Genomic DNA, 17,374 nt, shown 5'->3' with positions numbered 1-17,374 from the left:
CCCTGACAACCTCTTTCTTAAAAGAAAAAAAAATCACAGAAGTATCTCATATTGTCAGTGGAAGTAGTTCCAGCAACGATACTTCCCAATTTATATGTTTCATGTATTCAGGTTTTAGTACGTTGACTGCTTAAAACAAAGCATGGCTGTAACATCCCTGGGAAATGATCATTTCCTCTGATTGCCAGGTTGTGTGCACGTGGAGGACAGCTGTGCAATTCCTATCCAACTTCTTTCCAGTGGGCATTCTAGGACCCACAGTGGCCAGTAGCAAATGCTACTTTTCTGGGGTTTTTGTTAAAAGGGGAAGACTGTAGCCGCTGCTAGCACTGCCTGTGTTCTACTGTAGTTTTGTTCCCAGCTGTGATGCCACACTCTTTCCTACAGACCTCCCGACCTCTTTTGTGAAGGAGATCCATGATTTTGTGCTGGAGCAGTTCAACACGAGCCAGGGGGAGCTCCAGAAGATTCTACATGACGCAGACCGGATCCACAATGAGCTGAGCCCCCTCAAACTGCGCTGTCAGGCGAATGCTGCCTGTGTGGACCTCATGGTGTGGGCTGTGAAGGACGAGCAGGGTGAGACAGACTGCCTTGCCTCTCATGTGAGCTCCAGGCATGACCCAGAGGCTTTCTTGCCACAAGTTTCCCCAAACTACTTCTAGAACACTTGGCTCTGTTACCAGCACAGGCAGTTGCAGTAGGCCTCCTGGGCACGTGCAGAGTGGAGCATTAGCCCCTGCTGTGCTCTGCACGTCTGGTGTCCTGTCCTGCATGGAGGGCACTGGACCTGGGAGGATGGGGATGCCCGTGGCCTCAGGGCCTGTGTATGCTCTCTGCTGCATCTTGCTGGTTCTTTAGGCTTTTCTGTGGTGACATGGAAGCTCAGTGCCTTCAGGTGAAGTGTTTTTCTGGGGGAGGAGTAGAATGGGAAGTTTTCTGTGGAATGAACACTGCGGGGACAAGGGGGCTTAGGGCCAGCGGAGAAGAGAGAGAGAGTGTCACACACTGTGTGACCTCTCAGTATGAATAAGCCCTGCCTAAAGTATGTCTCTGGGGTTTTATTAAATTCTGTGCTTACTTGGTGGATAAGTGTGTTAGAAAGACTGGCCTGTGCTGATCACTCATCTCCTCTTCTGGTTTTGAATTAAGGTGCAGAAAACCTTTGCATCAAGCTATCTGAGAAGCTGCAGTCCAAGACGTCCAGCAAAGTCATTATTGCTCACTTGCCCCTGCTGATCTGCTGTCTGCAGGTCAGTCTCCCTGAACCCAGAGAGGCTCAGATCCCACCTGTAGGGCCTCCCTCTTGTCACGCTGTTGCTGTTCAGGCTGTGGTGGGCACACCAGCAGCGGAGACCCTGCCGGTTCTGTCTTTAGGAGCTTTAACCAGTGCGTGCTGTGCACAGTTCATCACTGAGTGTGGGCTGCCCCCTGCAGGATGCCAGGGCTTTCTGTCAGTGGCATATGGGTGCAGCTGGCTTCAGTTCTCCGTTGTTGTGAGGCTGGGGGCCATTCCCAAGGCCTGTGGGGGAAGGACTGTGGACATGTGCCATGGGGCCACGCAAGGGGATGTCTCCTGACACCCACAGTGCTAGCTCTGCTCTGCCGAGACTCTTAACCTTGTCACAATCCCACTGACTCCACACCTGCCATTGTTTAAAAATTATATTTTGTCCCTTTCTTCTTTAGTATGCTTCCAAAAGAGATGAGCACACTTTAACAATCTATATCCCCTGGCCAGGTACGGTTGCTCACTCCTGTAATCCCGATACTTTGGGAGGCAGAGGTGGGAGGATCGCTTGAGCCCAACCTGGGCAACATAGTGAGACTCCGTCTGCACAAAAAATTTAAAAAATTAGAATTAGTTAGGGATGATGGTGTGTGCCTACAGTCCCAGCTACTCAGGAGGCTGAGGTGGGAGGATTGCTTAAGCCCAGTAAGTCAAGGCTGCAGTAAGCCATGATCGTGCCACTGCACTCCAGCCTGGGCGACAGCGAGACCCTGTCTCAAAAACAAAACAAAAAAATAGTAGTTGATGTCCCCTATAGGTGGAGGAGAGTCAGCACCATCGCTTCCATCTTTTTATGTCCTGGGCAGGTGGCCTGTGGGAGCTTTGACCTTCGAAGTTTTGGGTCAGACTTGGGTACTGAAGGGTTGAGCACCTCCCTGCTCAGGGCCTACTCAGATGGTCCCATACCACAGGCCATGTGACAGGTTGATGGTGTGTTGCAGGGTTTGGGCCGCCTGTGCGAGAGGTTCCCGGTGGTGGTGCACTCTGTGACACCGTCCTTGCGAGACTTCCTGGTCATCCCGTCCCCAGTTCTGGTGAAGCTCTACAAGTACCACAGTCAGTACCACACAGGTAATAACAGACTATGTGCCCTTCAGGCCCTGAGAAAGGGGCTCTGTGACTGTGTGTGAGCCTCACACAGGTTTCATGACTGTACCTGGGTGCATTCCTTCGCCACACCTTTCCTTCTGTCTTTCCCTTTGCGTCCCCTCCAAGCTCCAGGCCTTTCTTCCCCGGCCTTCTCTCATCCTGTATTCCTGTTACACCAAAGGCCCCTTCAAGTCCTGTTTTCTTTTTGACATCTTTCACTGTGGAAGTCTGAAATGCAAATCCTGTGTGCCCCAAACACTTAGCCAGGGGCCCAGTCCCTGCTACCCCTGCGAGAATGGATTATGATGTTTCCACATATGATGAAACAATAATTAACATTAATTAATTAAACACCTGCTGTGTGCTAGTGTCTCTGATGTAGTATCACCCTCTTACCCACAGTCTCATGAAGGTGGCTGTTTTTATCTTCCCCTTCAGATGAAGACTTAAAGTCAGAGCAGTTTAAAGATTTAGCCAGGCGTGATGGCGCTCACCTGTAGTCCTAGCTACTCAGGAGGCTGAAGTTGTAGGATGGCTTGAGCCCAGGAGGTTGAGGATGCAGTGAGCTGTGATAGCGCCACTGCATTCCGGCCTGGGTGACAGAGCAAGACCCTATCTCAAAAACAAACAAAAAACAAGACTTCCCTGAACCCCGTAGTGGGGAGGGTTCTCTCAGGCTCTAAGGCCCCTGCTCCCGCAAGCATCCCTAACCCTCACCAGGCTTTGTACATATTAGTGAGGTAACTCCAAGCACAGGGCCATGCCTCAGTCGCCCTCAGAGCTGCCTTTGGTGGTTGGTCATCAGTACTTTTGAACAGTTGATTGAGAAATTGGTAGTTTTCTGTATTTATCACTTTCTAACTTGAATATTCTTCCTTTTGATTTAAACATATTATTTCCTGTTGCTCTTAGACTCTTCTCTTTCTGAAATATTTGGTCAGATGTTTTTAGAGTGATCATTTTGCTTTTATAAATGATCAGCATATTATCTTGGTTTTTGAATTACAAAGAAGGTGATGGAAAATGATAGGCCTAACTAGGTATATATTTGAATTTTTTACTTTCAGTTGCTGGCAATGATATAAAAATCAGTGTGACCAATGAGCATTCCGAGTCAACCCTGAACGTCATGTCGGGTAAGAAGAGCCAGCCCTCCATGTACGAGCAGCTCCGAGACATCGCTATTGACAACATCTGCAGGTGGGAAGCTGGGCAAGTGGCGAGTAGACAGCAGTGCTCCAGACAAGCGGGTTATTACAAAATAAGAGACATTTATACTTCTTTTTTGAGATTGAGTCTCGCTCTGTTGCCCAGGCTGGAATGCAGTGGCACAATCTCGGCTCACTGCTACCTCTGCCTCCTGGGTTCAAGCTATTTTCCTGCCTCAGCCTCCCCCGAGTAGCTGGGATTACAGGCGCCCACCACCACGCCCAGCTAATTTTTGTATTTTTAGTAGAGATGGGGTTGCACCACGTTGGCCAGGCTGGTCTCGAACTCCTGACCTCAGGTGATCCACCTGCCTTGGTCTCCCAAAGTGCTGGGATTACAGGTGTGAGCCACTGCACCCACCCCATTTATACATTTTTTTTTATACAGTCTTGCACTGTTGCCTGGGGCGGGAGTGCAATGGCGCAATCTCAGCTCACAGCAACCTCTGCCTCCTGGGTTCATGCAATTCTCCTGCCTCAGCCTCCCAGGTAGCTGGGATTACAGGCACACACCACCATTCTTGGCTAATTTTTTATATTTTTAGTAGAGATGGGATTTCACTATGTTGGCCAGACTGGTCTCAAACTTGTGACCTCGTGATCCGCCTGCCTCAGCCTCCCAAAGTGCTGGGATTACAAGCGTGAGCCACCGTGCCTGGCTGCATTTATACTTTTTTAAAGCTTGTTTCTGATTATTTTAAACCTACACTTGATCTATAAAGAGGAATTATTTCTTGTTACTTCTTTTCTTTTCCTGATCATAAACATAATAAGAGGCCTGGTGTGGTGGCTCAAGCCTGTAATCCCAGCTACTTGGGAGGCCGAGGCAGGTGGATCATGAGGTCAGGAGTTCGAGACCAGCCTGGCCAATATGGTGAAACCCTGTCTCTACTACAAATACAAAAAATTAGCCGGGCGTGGTGGCACGTGCCTGTAATCCCAGCTACTCGGGAGGCTGAGGCAGGAGAATCACTTGAACCCGGGAGGCGGAGGTTGCGGTGAGCCGAGATTGTACCATTGCACTCCAGCCTGGGCAACAAGAGCAAAACTCCGTCTCAAAAAAAAAAAGAAATTCTTCCTTTTTTTTTTTTGAGACAGAGTCTTGCTTTGTCGCCCAGGCTGGAGTGCAGTGGCGCGATCTCAGCTCACTGCAAGCTCCGCCTCCTGGGTTCACGCCATTCTCCTGCCTCAGCCTCTGGAGTAGCTGGGACTACAGGTGCCCGCCACCATGCCCAGCTAATTTTTTTGTATTTTTTTTTTTTTTTTAGTAGAGATGGGGTTTCACCATGTTAGCCAGGATGATCTTGATCTCCTGACCTTGTGATCCGCCCACCTGTGCCTCCCAAAGTGCTGGGATTACAGGTGTGAGCCACCGTGCCTGGCTAAGAAATTCTTACTAGAGAAAAATTGTAATGTATAGAAAAGTAAAAAGAGAAGGATTATCCATTAGCTCAACATCCAGAGTAACGTATCATCATATTTTCTTTACCTTGTTTTCTGTGGAATGTTTAATATAAATGTGAGGTTTTAAAATATGATTAGGTACCCCTTGCTGCCCAGACTCCTGCACTGTGGACTCTTGTTCTTCCAACTTGAGAGCTACATACAGTCTGATTTCCATGCAAATACTTCTTTCCCTGGATTCTGGTTCCTTGCCCTTAGAAGCTAAATCAAGATGGCAGCTTGTCTGTCAGACTCAAACTGTTTTCCAAACTCTGGCCCAGGAGCCAAACAGATGTGGAGAGCTAGGACATCTTACAAGATTTTATGTTTTTAGGGGCTTTAAATTTTTCCCCTTTTCTCTGTAACGTAAATGTTTCTCCTTACCATGAAAACCTTGGTATATAATTGTGATGTTTACTATGCTATCTTGGGACCGTTTGTCTTTGGAATCAGTCACTGTGACCTTAAGAAACAGTACAAGGGATTGAAATTGGAATTAGGGTGAGCATGATATTCCAAAGGAAACTGTTCTGGGCAAAATAATGAAATTATTGTTTCCGACTGAGACATTTATCAAGTGGGCAAAATCTGGAGTAATTCTTTGAATTCATTCTGTGTTATGACCTCCAATTTGGGGGGAAGAAAATTCAGAGCAGTTCTTTAAACTTTGTAGGCCTAAGGAAGGAAAAATTAAAAAACAAAAAACCTATCTTGGTTTGATGCCTCAGTGCCACATGGGTTTTCTTGCTCCTCAGGTGCCTGAAGGCTGGATTGACGGTGGACCCAGTGATTGTGGAGGCGTTCTTGGCCAGCCTGTCCAACCGGCTCTACATCTCTCAGGAGAGCGACAAGTACGCCCCTATTCCTGTCTCTCAGAGGCAGCCCATTGTTCTCAGCAGGCTCGTGTGGGGCACCTGGCATTGTGCGTATGCATGCCTCTGTCCTTATCTCCTTGTCTCAGAGCATAGGCATGTATCAGGGTTGTCACAAGATTTAAGGTGAAGCCCACCTTGGATTGTACTTCCTGGACCACTGTGTGGAAGTCGAGAAAGATCTTTGTCATCCAGACTAGTGCCTGGGGCTTATGTTTCTGCCCGTGGTTAAAATCCTGGGCTGTCAGTTTCAGATGAACACTGCATCAAGACTGTTATGAAATTAAGGTCTAGATCGTAGTCTCTGGGTACTGTTTCACTACTGCATGCTGGAGGGACTGTTGCTAGGGCGCTTCTGTTCTTCCTTCTGTAGGGACGCTCACTTGATTCCCGACCACACAATCCGAGCCTTGGGACACATTGCGGTGGCCTTGAGGGACACCCCGAAGGTCATGGAGCCCATTCTGCAGATCCTACAGCAGAAATTCTGCCAGCCACCCTCCCCCCTCGATGTGCTGATTATTGACCAGCTGGGCTGCCTGGTTATCACCGGAAATGTAAGGGAGGCCAGAGCCAGAACACCACTAACCCTGTGCAAGCTACGTTAAACTCTTGACTATAAGGGATGTACAAATACAGATTAAATATACCTTGCAGATGAGCTAAATGCTGACAACGGTTTTAATGCGGAGTAGTAAGAATAGTGTAAGATGCTGTGAGTGCTGGGGAAAAAGAGGTTTAATTTCTTGTCAGTGTATTATAACAGAAGATTTGAATCTAAGCCATGTCCCTTTTAGCTTTTAATTTGAGGTTTGATTAAAGCTTTAGAAATGGATGATCTTTGGGCTGATAGTCTTTGGGCTGTTGTGCCCCAGGATTCCAGAGCTTTCTCTCTAGGTGATGACAGGAGGGGCCTCATGAGGGCATCCTGCATGGTGACAGTGCATCTTGCTCTCTCCCAGCAATACATCTATCAGGAAGTGTGGAACCTCTTCCAGCAGATCAGTGTGAAGGCCAGCTCCGTTGTATACTCAGCCACCAAAGATTACAAGGACCACGGCTATAGGTAACTGGACCTCATTGTCACTTTTTTATCATGACAGTATTTAACTTACTTTAAAAATGTGAGGTTTGTGAATTTGTCTCTTAAATAAACTCTTCTTGCAAGAAAACTATATGCTACAGATCAGTGCACACATAAGGGGGGAAGTGAAAACCCAATGTGGCCCCCACCTGGAGGTGACCACTGAGCATCTCAGCGCACGAGGTCTCAGCTCCTTTCTCTCCTTCTGATTGGGCCCATGCTGCACATGCAGCTGACCTGCTTTTTTATGGGGCAGCACATCAGCCACACCATGAATGATCCTGCGCAGGTTGCCTTTAGAGGTTGTGGAGCGTCCTATCCTATAGTAGAACCAAGATTTAACCAGCCAGTCTCTAGCTTGGATGTTAGGGTGTTTTCCAGTTTTCCCACTAATAAATGCAGCATTGACAGCCTAACAGCTACATATCTCTGAGCATCTTTGATGCTTTCTGTGGGTTAGATTCAGAGAAGTAGGATTTTGGGTCCAAGGAAGTAGGCGTTAAACGTCCTTGAACATTTGATACTTGTATAAAGTCTGACCAGTTTTCCCTGACAGATTGAGAGATGCTTCTTGGCTATTCCTTACCCTCCTCTAGGAATGCCTTGAGGACAGGGACATGTTCATCCGTGTTTGGAAGAGAGGGAAGGGGAGAGGTGAAGTCAGATGAGGACAGGAGGGTGGGGAGGGAAGAAGAGAGCCCCTTTGCAGGCGTTACTCTTCTTGACCTCCGGGCTCCTCCCTTCTGACTGTGAAGTCCAGGCCTTCCTCTGGATTCTCTCCATGTCAGTTTAGTGGGTGGGAGTGCAGCTGTGGAGCCATGCCATGTAGCTGCATGACCTCAGAAAATGCTGAACCTCTGTGCCTCAGTTTCCTCATCTGCCAAATGAGAACCTGCCTGCAGTTGGGAATGAGATTGCATATGTGAAAGCTCCCAATCAATAGAGCTGTCTCTCGCATCGATACTACTTCATTGCCTTCTTGCTGCCACCGTCATGAGCCCAGGCTACTAGAACAGCCTGAAGACTGGATTGGGGATGGGGTCAGGCTCTCCTTTCCTTCCTTCCTCTGTCCCATTCTCTGCCATGGAACCTGCACACAGGCCAACACATTGCTTCCTTGCGCCTATGTGACTGCTGGGCCCTTTCTCCAGGAGTGTCCCCAGCTGCCTCGCCAGCTGCCTCCCCGGTTTCCTTTGCTTCCACCCCTCCTAGGTGTTCTGCCATGCCTTACCCTGTGTCTGTAGCACCTGCCAGTCTTCATCCTTCCAGTTCTTCAGTTCTGGCTCAGCTTGCCTCTCCTTCCATAAAGCCTTTTCTCATATTGTCACCAAAAATGATTTGTCGTCTTCCTCACCAGTGGAAGCATTTACTGCCCTTTGTTTGCCCTTGACCTACCAGGTATTACTTAACTGCAGTGCCTTTTGCCGTGGCTGCCGTTGCTCTGGGATTTCTTAGTGGAGCAGACGACATGCTTAGTGCTTCACGTGGTGTTTCACTCTTCCCGTGATCCTACGAAGAGAAATTATCATCCTTGTTTTACTTAGGAAGAAACTGAGGCTCAAAGACTTAAAGAGACTTACCCAGGGTCGTGCCGCTTGGACATGACAGAGTCTGGCAGTCTCCAGGGCCACAGAAGCCTGGTTGGCCTCAGTGGTTTCAGGTTTCTGGCCAAAGGGGCAATGTCAGCTTCACATCCGGGGTTTACATTGGGCCAGCCAAGATCCTGAGGCAGGACCCTGGAACACTTGCTGAGCATTGGATGTGAAAAAATACTGACATCAGCTCCAAGGTGGAGGCAGCGTTAGGGAGAAGCTGGTCATGAGGTGAAAGTTCTGTGGGTGGTAAATGATGCTTTAAGGCTCTTTGTGATTTGTAGGGGGGAAGCAAGATCCAACCTGGAATGCCTGGGCATGGGCCCTTTCATTTTCAGCCCTGAGGGAAGTGTCCTGAGACCCTCACAGGTACCCAGTGTTGCAGATGCCTAGAACTTAGTCTCCTGGAGGTCCTTACTACATTTCAGGAGAGAGGATTGCAGTCATTTCTGCATCAGTTGGCTTTATTCTACAGGTTGTTTTTCACGAAGATGACATGTTCTTCTCCACTTGAGAGTTCTTTGGTTTACAGACACTGGGAGGAGTGTGGTAAGGCAGGCTGGGCCTGGCCCGCTCAGCTCGCCTCACCCCTGCAGTGCCGTCCCTTGGGGACGGTTGAGGGCCTGGCAGTGGCTGTTATTTCACTCCTTCTTCTTCAGGCATTGCTCCCTGGCAGTGATTAATGCCCTGGCCAACATCGCGGCCAACATCCAAGACGAGCACCTGGTGGATGAGCTGCTCATGAACCTGTTGGAGTTGTTTGTGCAGCTGGGGCTGGAGGGGAAGCGAGCCAGCGAGAGGGCAAGCGAGAAGGGCCCTGCCCTAAAGGTAGGAAGGAGGATGGCTATGCCTTCCCCATCAGTGTCCTATCCCTGCTGGCCAAGGCTTAGTCTTCAGGCACCATCTTGGTTGGAATATGGCACTTTCTTTGTGAATGATTTAAATGTGCCTGGAATGCAAGTAAGAAGGGGTGGGGTTCTTTCTCAAGGATGCTGGTGGGGATCAGGGGAGAGGGCAGTTTTCTCACTGGGTTATATCCAGCTCATAAAAGCTGCCCGACCCATCCTAGGGTGGTGACATGACAACAGTCTAGCCTCAGCTCCCCACGGGCACCTCTCTCTGTCCTTGCCTTTATCATGAAGCCCAGGGGTGGTAGCTGGGCCTAGGAGGACTTTAAGGGCCCATCATCAGAACACAGTGGCAACATGAGAAGGGCCAGATTTCACCTAATCTCAGGCCTCCCAAGGAAGACAGGTCTACTGAGATAAACGTCATGTCTTGAATCCCCAAATACATTCATGGTGGGGCCGAGGCAGGTGAGGCCTCTTCCTTCGTAACTCCCCAGTAGCATGTCACGTGGGCACTAGTCGCTCTACCATGTTAGGAATAACCCTTAAAATTTTAAGGAAATTGAATATTTGAACAGAAGAGTTTTAGTAAAGCAATTTTATTTTTGCGTAGAGGGGTGTCTTTTGGGCTAGCTGTTATAAGAGCATATTTGAATAAAGGGCACGAGAATTTTTATTTTTGACTCAAGTTTTGTTTTTGTATTTTTTTTATTGGCTGGGGTTGGGTCATATAATTTAAACTAATTTTGGTTGGCTAAACATTTGATTTTTTTAGATAGGGTGGGTATGTAAAAGAAAGTGGAGAGAAAGGGGAAGGGGGTGTTTGTAATGAGCTAGAAAGTTTTTTTTTTTAAATAAGGAAAGGAATATGAGTTGGTGTTGATAACACTTGGTACTGAGGCGTGTTTAGGCATTTAATAAAGGCAAAAAGGAAAAAAAAGAAAAAGTCGGGGGTACTATAAATTAAAAAATAAAAGATTGATCAGATTATTTAAAGAAAAACCCCAATGTATCCCACAACCATATCTCTACTTCCACCCTGTTTTGTCATTTCCTCTCTCTTCCATTTCTTCCTTCCCCTTCCCCCAGACAGTTATTGTTCACCTACTCTGTGCCAGCTACTGTCCTAGGTCAGGGGTCAGCCCACTTTTTCTGTAAAGGGCCAGAGTGTAAATATTTTACGCTTTGCAGGCCATACAGCTTCTGTTGTAACTGCTCAACTCAACTCTTCTGTGGTCACCTGTCTATGAACGAACAGGCGTGACTGTGCTCCTATAAAATTGTATTTGCAAGAACAGGTGTTGGGTTGGATTTGGTTCATGGGCCATAGTTTACCAGCCCTTGCTCTAGATGAGGGTGTTACAGAAGTGAACGAGACAGACAGGGTCCTCTCTGCCTGTGGCGCTGAGTGGGAGAGTGAAACAGGGCAGGGTGGTGAGGGGCACTTTAGATTGGGCTGGTTGAGAAGGCTTCTCTGAAGAGTGGCATTTGAGATGACAACTGCATGAAGGAGTCCCCCTGTGAAAGTCTCAGCCAAGAGAGAGTGGCCGATGCAAGCAGGGATCCTAAGACTCTTGTCCCTAATTCAGCCTTGCTATGCCGGGCCCTCCGACAGTCATGTGGCTGACTAACTTCCCAAGTCTCCCAGTGGGGTACACAGCTGGGACCACCTCAGTGCACAGGAGAGAAGTGTGTCCCGCGTGTCTAGCGGGACCTTAGGCATCAGGATAAGAGTGGGGTACTGATGATACAAGGTGGTGCTGAGCACCTGAGAAAGCAGAGGCTGTAACCTGTCTGAGGGGCGTTTCAGGAGCCTGCTCTCCCCTGGAAATTGGACCTCAGTGCCCCACCTTGTGGAGGACAAGGAGCTATAATTATAAATTAAACTAAGGTCTGTGGGTTGTTCTCCATCATCACGCATCCCTTAGGCTATCGGTTTCCCAGAGGGGACCAGGCAGGGCCACCCTTGTGGCCCCCAGCCCAGGGAAAACAGCTTGGCATTCTTTTTAAATTTTCAAAAAAATTTTTGTGAGTACATAGTAGGTGTATATGTTTACAGCTTGGCATTCTGTCCCCACCACTGAGGTGCTGTGTGGCCTTGGCAAGCTACTGAGACCTCCCATGAATCGTCCCAGAAGTTAGTGCATGCGAAGCACTGAGCACAGTGCCTGGCCGCAGTGTATGCTCAAGGTCTTCAGCTGCTGTTATTATAGATTAAGAGCATAAATCAAGTCGGCTTAGGCCAGTGCTTCCAGAATTTTTACTAATCAGTGTGTACTGAAGATTAGCTACATTTGTGTGTCTAGCCAGAGAGTCTATCTTTTATTAAGTAACCCCCCAAATTTCCCTAACTTGGGAAGAATATATGTTTATTTTAGAAAAGATACAGAAGCCTATAAATAGTAAAGTAAAAAGCACTTATCCCTTGACTCAGATATATAATCATTACTAACACTTTGACAGATTTCTTCCTAGCTTTTTTATGCATATGTATTTATTACATAATTGGGATTGAATCATAGCATAGTCTTAAATCTTGATTTTTTTTTCATTTGACATGTGCTGTGGGCTCTTTCCATGGTGACTAAATGCTTTTCAGAAAGTTGTATTTTAAATAGCTGTGTCATATCTAATTATGCAGAAGTACCATGATTTATGTAATCATTTATGTAACCATGGTTTATTTTTCACATTTGTTTTCATTTTTTGCTATTAAAATTATGCTGGATGAGCATCTCTCTGCCTCTCTCTGCATATCTCTCATCATTTCTCTTAGATTAAGACATTCCAGGTTTACATAACACTATGTTGTATCTTGTGTTTTTTTTTTTTAATAAAAGAAACACATACTCGTTAATGACAATAATTCTGTTCTTTTCTAGGCTTCTAGCAGTGCAGGGAACTTGGGAGTACTCATTCCTGTAATAGCTGTGGTGAGTATTCATTAATTGAATGATAAAAACTGCAGATACTGTGTTCATGCTTTAAGTGTTGCCTGGTGACGCACAGTAAATTCCTTAGAAAGGTGCAGTGTTGAGGCCCCTATGCCTCTAGATGTGACTGCTGCAGCCATCACCAGCTTTTCCATGACAGCCCCATAGGTGTGTCCACCATGGCACATCCTTCACTCCCTTTCTCCATGACCTGCCCGAACCCCCTCAACCAATTGACAAGGGCACTTGCTTTGGTTCCCTGCCGGGTGGCTCCCAGGTCCTAAATCTGACTCCACTTTCATCCTGTGTCTCATGCCCTTGTGACTGATGCTGGGCCAGCTCCCTGCTTCCATCCCTTCCTTGGCTCCTTCCCACAAGTGCAGGCCTGGAAGCCTCTTGTCGGCGCTCAGGCCTCGGAGCTATGGCCCCAGTCTCCTTCAGGGGACGTTGTTGGCATGGCGGGCACAGTCCCTGCCTCCTGTGTGGCACCATCGTGTTGGAGAGCCTGTTTCCATCCTGTCCTGTCCCAGCTTGGGTCCGCTTCTTCCCAAATGACTTGTAGAAGTTGTTTTTCCCTTTCTTCGTCACTCCTAGCTGCAAGTCCTAAGCCCAGCACCTATGTTCCAGTATTTATTTTCATTCCATATTCTCTCCCTTCCATTTAACCAACCTTCTAGGCCATCCCTTGTGTCTGCCTTACAGTGCCTTCCCTCCTCCTCACCCCATAGTAGTTTGAGTCTTGAGCACTTGCATGTGTCCCCTTCACCTTGTACACCAGAGGGGTGGGCCTGGTGGCAGAACTGCTAGGGCAGCCTAGGGACGTGGAGGTCAGGCAGACAGGTGGCATTGCAGGCACAGAGAGGCACCTCTCCTGGTCTCATTGAAGTCGTTCCCCTGCTCACACCATCTGAGTGTTCATCATTATTCCCAACCTGGGGACTTCTAGGGTGTCCAGTTTTGGCTGGCCGAGGTAGATGAAAAATAGTAACTGACTGGTTTGCCATTATTTATCTTTAGTAGTAAAATGTCATATGTCGCATGTTATTTATTTATTTTTATTTTTTATTATATTGTATTTTATTTTTTATTTTTGAGACAGATTCTCACTCTGTCACCCAGGCTGGAATGCAGTGGTGCGACCTTGGCTAACTGCAGTCTCCACCTCCTGGGTTCAAGCAGTTGTCATGCCTCAGTCTCCCGAGTACCTGGGATTACAAGCACGCCCTACCACGCATGGCTAATTTTTGTATTTTTAGTAGAGATGGGGTTTCACCATGTTGGCCAGGCTGGTCTCGAACTCCTGGCCTCAAGTGATCCACCCGCCTTGGCCTCCCAAAGTGCTGGTATTACAGGTATGAGCTGCCGCGCCCGGCCTGCCATGGTATTTTTCATGGACACCCCCATTGGTTGATTTATTTTTATTTTTATTGTTTTTGAGACAGGGTCTCATTCTGGCACCTAGATTGGAGTGCAGTGGCAGAGTATCAGCCCACTGCAGCCTGGACCTCTGGAGCTCAAGCAATCTTCCCACCTCAGCCTTCCAAGTAGCTGGGACTACAGGTGCACATCACCATTCTCAGCTACTTTTTCTATTTTTTTGTAGAGATAGGGTTTTGCCATGTTGCCCAGGCTTGTCTCGAACTTCTGAGCTCAAGTGATCTGCCCCACTTCAGCCTCCCTTAGTGCTGGGATTACAGGCGTGAACCACCATGCCTGGCCCCATTGGTTGATTTTTCAAAACAGAAATTTTCCCACTGTGTAGCTAATGTTGAGTAGTGTATGCTTGTGTGTTTAAAGTGCTGTTGTATGTGGGCCTTTTATGTGGCCTGGAGGGAAAAGTAAGGGGCATGAAGCCCAAGCCACTCTGTTGGCAGCAGGCTCTGCAGGAGAGCAAGTTTTAGGCAGATAGGGAGGATGCTTAGGGCAACACTAAAATCAGTGAGTTCCAGGATCTTTGACCATCAGAACTTGATGACCTGTATTCTTGTGAACTTTCAAATATGTTGAGCAGTTGTCATTTAGAGCTTAATATATGCATAGTGGAAATCTGTCGGGCACTTTGCACTTTAGGGAAGCAGTGAGTGGTGAGGTTGGTTGAAATTACACAAATTTGAGGGTCACAGGGTTCCAGGTTGGACTCCTGGTCCTACATGTGGGATCGTGTGTGAGCCTGCGCCTCTCCGGGCTGCTGGGGTGGGTGGTACAGGCAGAACTGTTATCTGTGATAGCTTAGCACATGCTCATTTAAATACTCCCCTGATGTGACCTCTTACATGAGAAGAATAAGTGTATTTTTAGTGAAAGTTAATGGTTATATTATGGAGGAGGAAACAAATATTTGATTTTATTGCTCAACAAAGAGCACAGAGATCATGGGTCCTTGCATTTACTTTATGGTTACCCCTTGGACCTTCTGGAAGAAACTAATTTCCAGAGGTGGTTTTTTTTGTTGTGTGTGTGTGTGTGTGTGTGTGTGTGTGTGTGTGTGTGTGTTTGTTTTTTTTAAATTTTTTTATTTTTATTTTTATTTTTGAGACAGAGTCTCACTCTGTCACCCAGACTGGAGTGCAGTGGCGTGATTTTGGCTCACTGCAACTTCCATCTCCTGGGTTCAAGCTATTCTCCTGCCTCAGCCTTCCAAGCAGCTGGAATTACAGGTGTGCACCACCATGCACGGCTAATTTTTGTATTTTTAGTAGAAATCAGTTTTTGCCATGTTCACCAGGCTGGTCTCAAACTCCTGGTTTCAAGTGATCCACCTGCCTCAGCCTCCCAAAGTGCTGGGATTACAGGTGTGAGCCACCACTCCTGGCCTACTTATTTTATTTTTTAAAAGAAAGATATACTCTATTTTGTATATAGAGTATATTCTGTGACCTTTGATGACACAGTGTCTCAGATTACTCTGTTGAATGGAAGTACCAGTGGATTTGGGGCAGGAAGCCTGGGTTTTGGCCCTAATGCAGCTGTTCTCAGTGACTTTGAGGGAGTTGCTAGGAAGCTGGGTCATACAATCTCTGAGGCTCCTTCCTGGCTAGATTTGGTGATCTTTGTACCGCAACTTTGTGAATAATATTTCTTCAGAGATATCATTGATTAAATTACTTCAGTTGTTACTTAGCTTGTTAGTTAAACGTTTTGAATGGTATCTAATGCTTAGAGACTTAGTTGTTCCACTGTCATATAATAGTGATTTAATAAGATGCACCTCCTTCTGGAAAAACATTCATGTATTTCACTGAGAGCAAGTTTACTTGTGTCACCAGTCACTTTTGTGGCCTTGGAAGGTTTACTTATTTTCTCAGTGCCTGCAAAACCAGGTGTGTGTGGATTAACATGTTTTAGGTCACAGAGAACCTTTTCGAAAACTGTGCACTCTCTGTCCATGGAAATCCTTATTACTCTCAAGATTTTGCATGTAACCTCAGGAAGTTAAATGGAAGCAATCTACCCAAGGCTCCCCAGTTAAGAAGGCCTGGCTTATGTACTCTCTTAGATTGAGAATAATGTGACAACCTTTCCTAGTTCTTGCTAAAACCAAGCAGTGATCTAAATGCTTTCCAGACCAGGCATGGTGGCTTACACCTGTAATCCCAACACTTTGGGAGGCCAAGGTGGGCAGATCACCTGAGGTCAGGAGTTCGAGACCAGCCTGTCCAACATGGTGAAACCTCATCTCTGCTAAAAATACAAAAATTAGCCAAGCGTGGTGGCACGTGCCTGTAGTCCCAGCTACTCGGGAGGCTTAGGCAGGAGAATTGCTTGAACCCAGGAGGCGGAGGTTGCAGTGAGCCAGGATTGTGCCATTGCACTCCAGCCTGGGCAACAGAGCGAGACTCCGTCTCAAAAAAATAAAATAAATGAATAAATAAATAAATAAATAAATGCTTTCTAGACATTAATTTGATTAATCCTCACAGCAATCCCTCAAGGTAAGTGCTGCTGGTCTCCCCATTTTACAGATGAGGATACTGAGGCACAGAACCTGCTACTAGAGTTTCATAGCTACTAGATGGCAGAGCCAGGATTCAAACCAGGCAGCCTGGCTCAGAGCCTGTGTTCTGAATGAGTACTCTCCTGCTTTGAGTAACAGATGGGCTAGTTTCTGTAAGAGGGGATCTGAGAGATTCTGAGTGGGTGTACATGAACAAAAGGCATTGAAACGGGGGTGTCTGGATGCTCAAGAGTGTGGAGGACTCCACACCGGCTGTAGCAGAGAGGGCGCTGGGTGAGCAGAAGTGACCACTGCCTTTCTGGGTATGGGACAGACATGGCAAAGGACTAAAAGGGTTTTTTGAGATTATTACATTTAGAAATGAGAAGAGCCAAAAGGAAGCTGCAGCAAGATGAGAAATATAGGACAGGCACCAGAAAAGAAGAGTGGTGAAGCAGGTTGGAGAATGACAGAAAAGAAGAGTGGTGAAGCAGTTTGGAGAATGACAGAAAAGAAGAGGGGTGAAGCAGATTGGAGAATGAATTGAAGGAGTGGGCCATCCGCAGCATCAGGGTTCACCAGGAAGCCGAGAGGATGGCTTGGGGCAATTCATCCAGCCCCTGCACCATCTGCTCTCAGCAGAGTAAGGAGGCAGAGCCCAGTGTGGGAAGTCAGGAAGGGAGCAGGGGAAAGCAGGGCTGCAGGGTCCCCCTGCCTGGGTGTGGATTCAGGCCTCAGGCAGAGGCCTTCCCTTCTGTGAGCTGAAATTGCTTCTGCAGCTGTAAAAAGGAGGGGTAACAGTGCCAGCCCCCTAGGGATTGAGGGTAAGGAGACTCTGTGAGATAACCCACAGGCATGCCTACAAAGGGCAGTGACGTTCCCCTTCCGTCCCTACTCCCTTTTACCACTCTTCTTACTGGTATTGGTCTCATGGGGTCAGAAGCCTGTGACAGGACTCCTTGTGTGGTCCCTGGAGTCCAGCCAACCTGCACTTGAACCCAGCCCCACTACTTCAGCATCTTGGACAGGTTTCAGAACTCTTCCAACCCTTGTCTTCCTCATCTGCCAGGCTGTGGGGGT

The 17,374-nt window shown here is 47.4% G+C and overlaps 1 protein-coding gene across 8 annotated transcripts in view; it reads left to right on the top strand.

Moving 5' to 3' along the window:
* PI4KA (phosphatidylinositol 4-kinase alpha) overlaps positions 1-17,374 on the top strand; it is a 151,121-nt gene that overhangs the window by 53,259 nt on the left and 80,488 nt on the right. For all 8 annotated transcript variants that reach the window (NM_001362863.2, NM_001362862.2, XM_005261635.2 and 5 more), the window contains 9 exons: positions 388-579; positions 1,153-1,253; positions 2,233-2,362; positions 3,448-3,580; positions 5,787-5,882; positions 6,277-6,460; positions 6,866-6,969; positions 9,239-9,407; positions 12,310-12,360. In NM_001362863.2, the coding sequence (NP_001349792.1) occupies positions 388-579; positions 1,153-1,253; positions 2,233-2,362; positions 3,448-3,580; positions 5,787-5,882; positions 6,277-6,460; positions 6,866-6,969; positions 9,239-9,407; positions 12,310-12,360 (1,160 nt within the window). The remainder of the gene's footprint in view (positions 1-387; positions 580-1,152; positions 1,254-2,232; positions 2,363-3,447; positions 3,581-5,786; positions 5,883-6,276; positions 6,461-6,865; positions 6,970-9,238; positions 9,408-12,309; positions 12,361-17,374) is intronic.

This window comes from Homo sapiens, chromosome 22, assembly GCF_000001405.40.
Source record: "Homo sapiens chromosome 22, GRCh38.p14 Primary Assembly".
Taxonomy (NCBI): Eukaryota; Metazoa; Chordata; class Mammalia; order Primates; family Hominidae; genus Homo; species Homo sapiens.
Note: the sequence above shows the minus strand (reverse complement) of the source record. Positions and strands in the feature narration are given on the sequence as shown.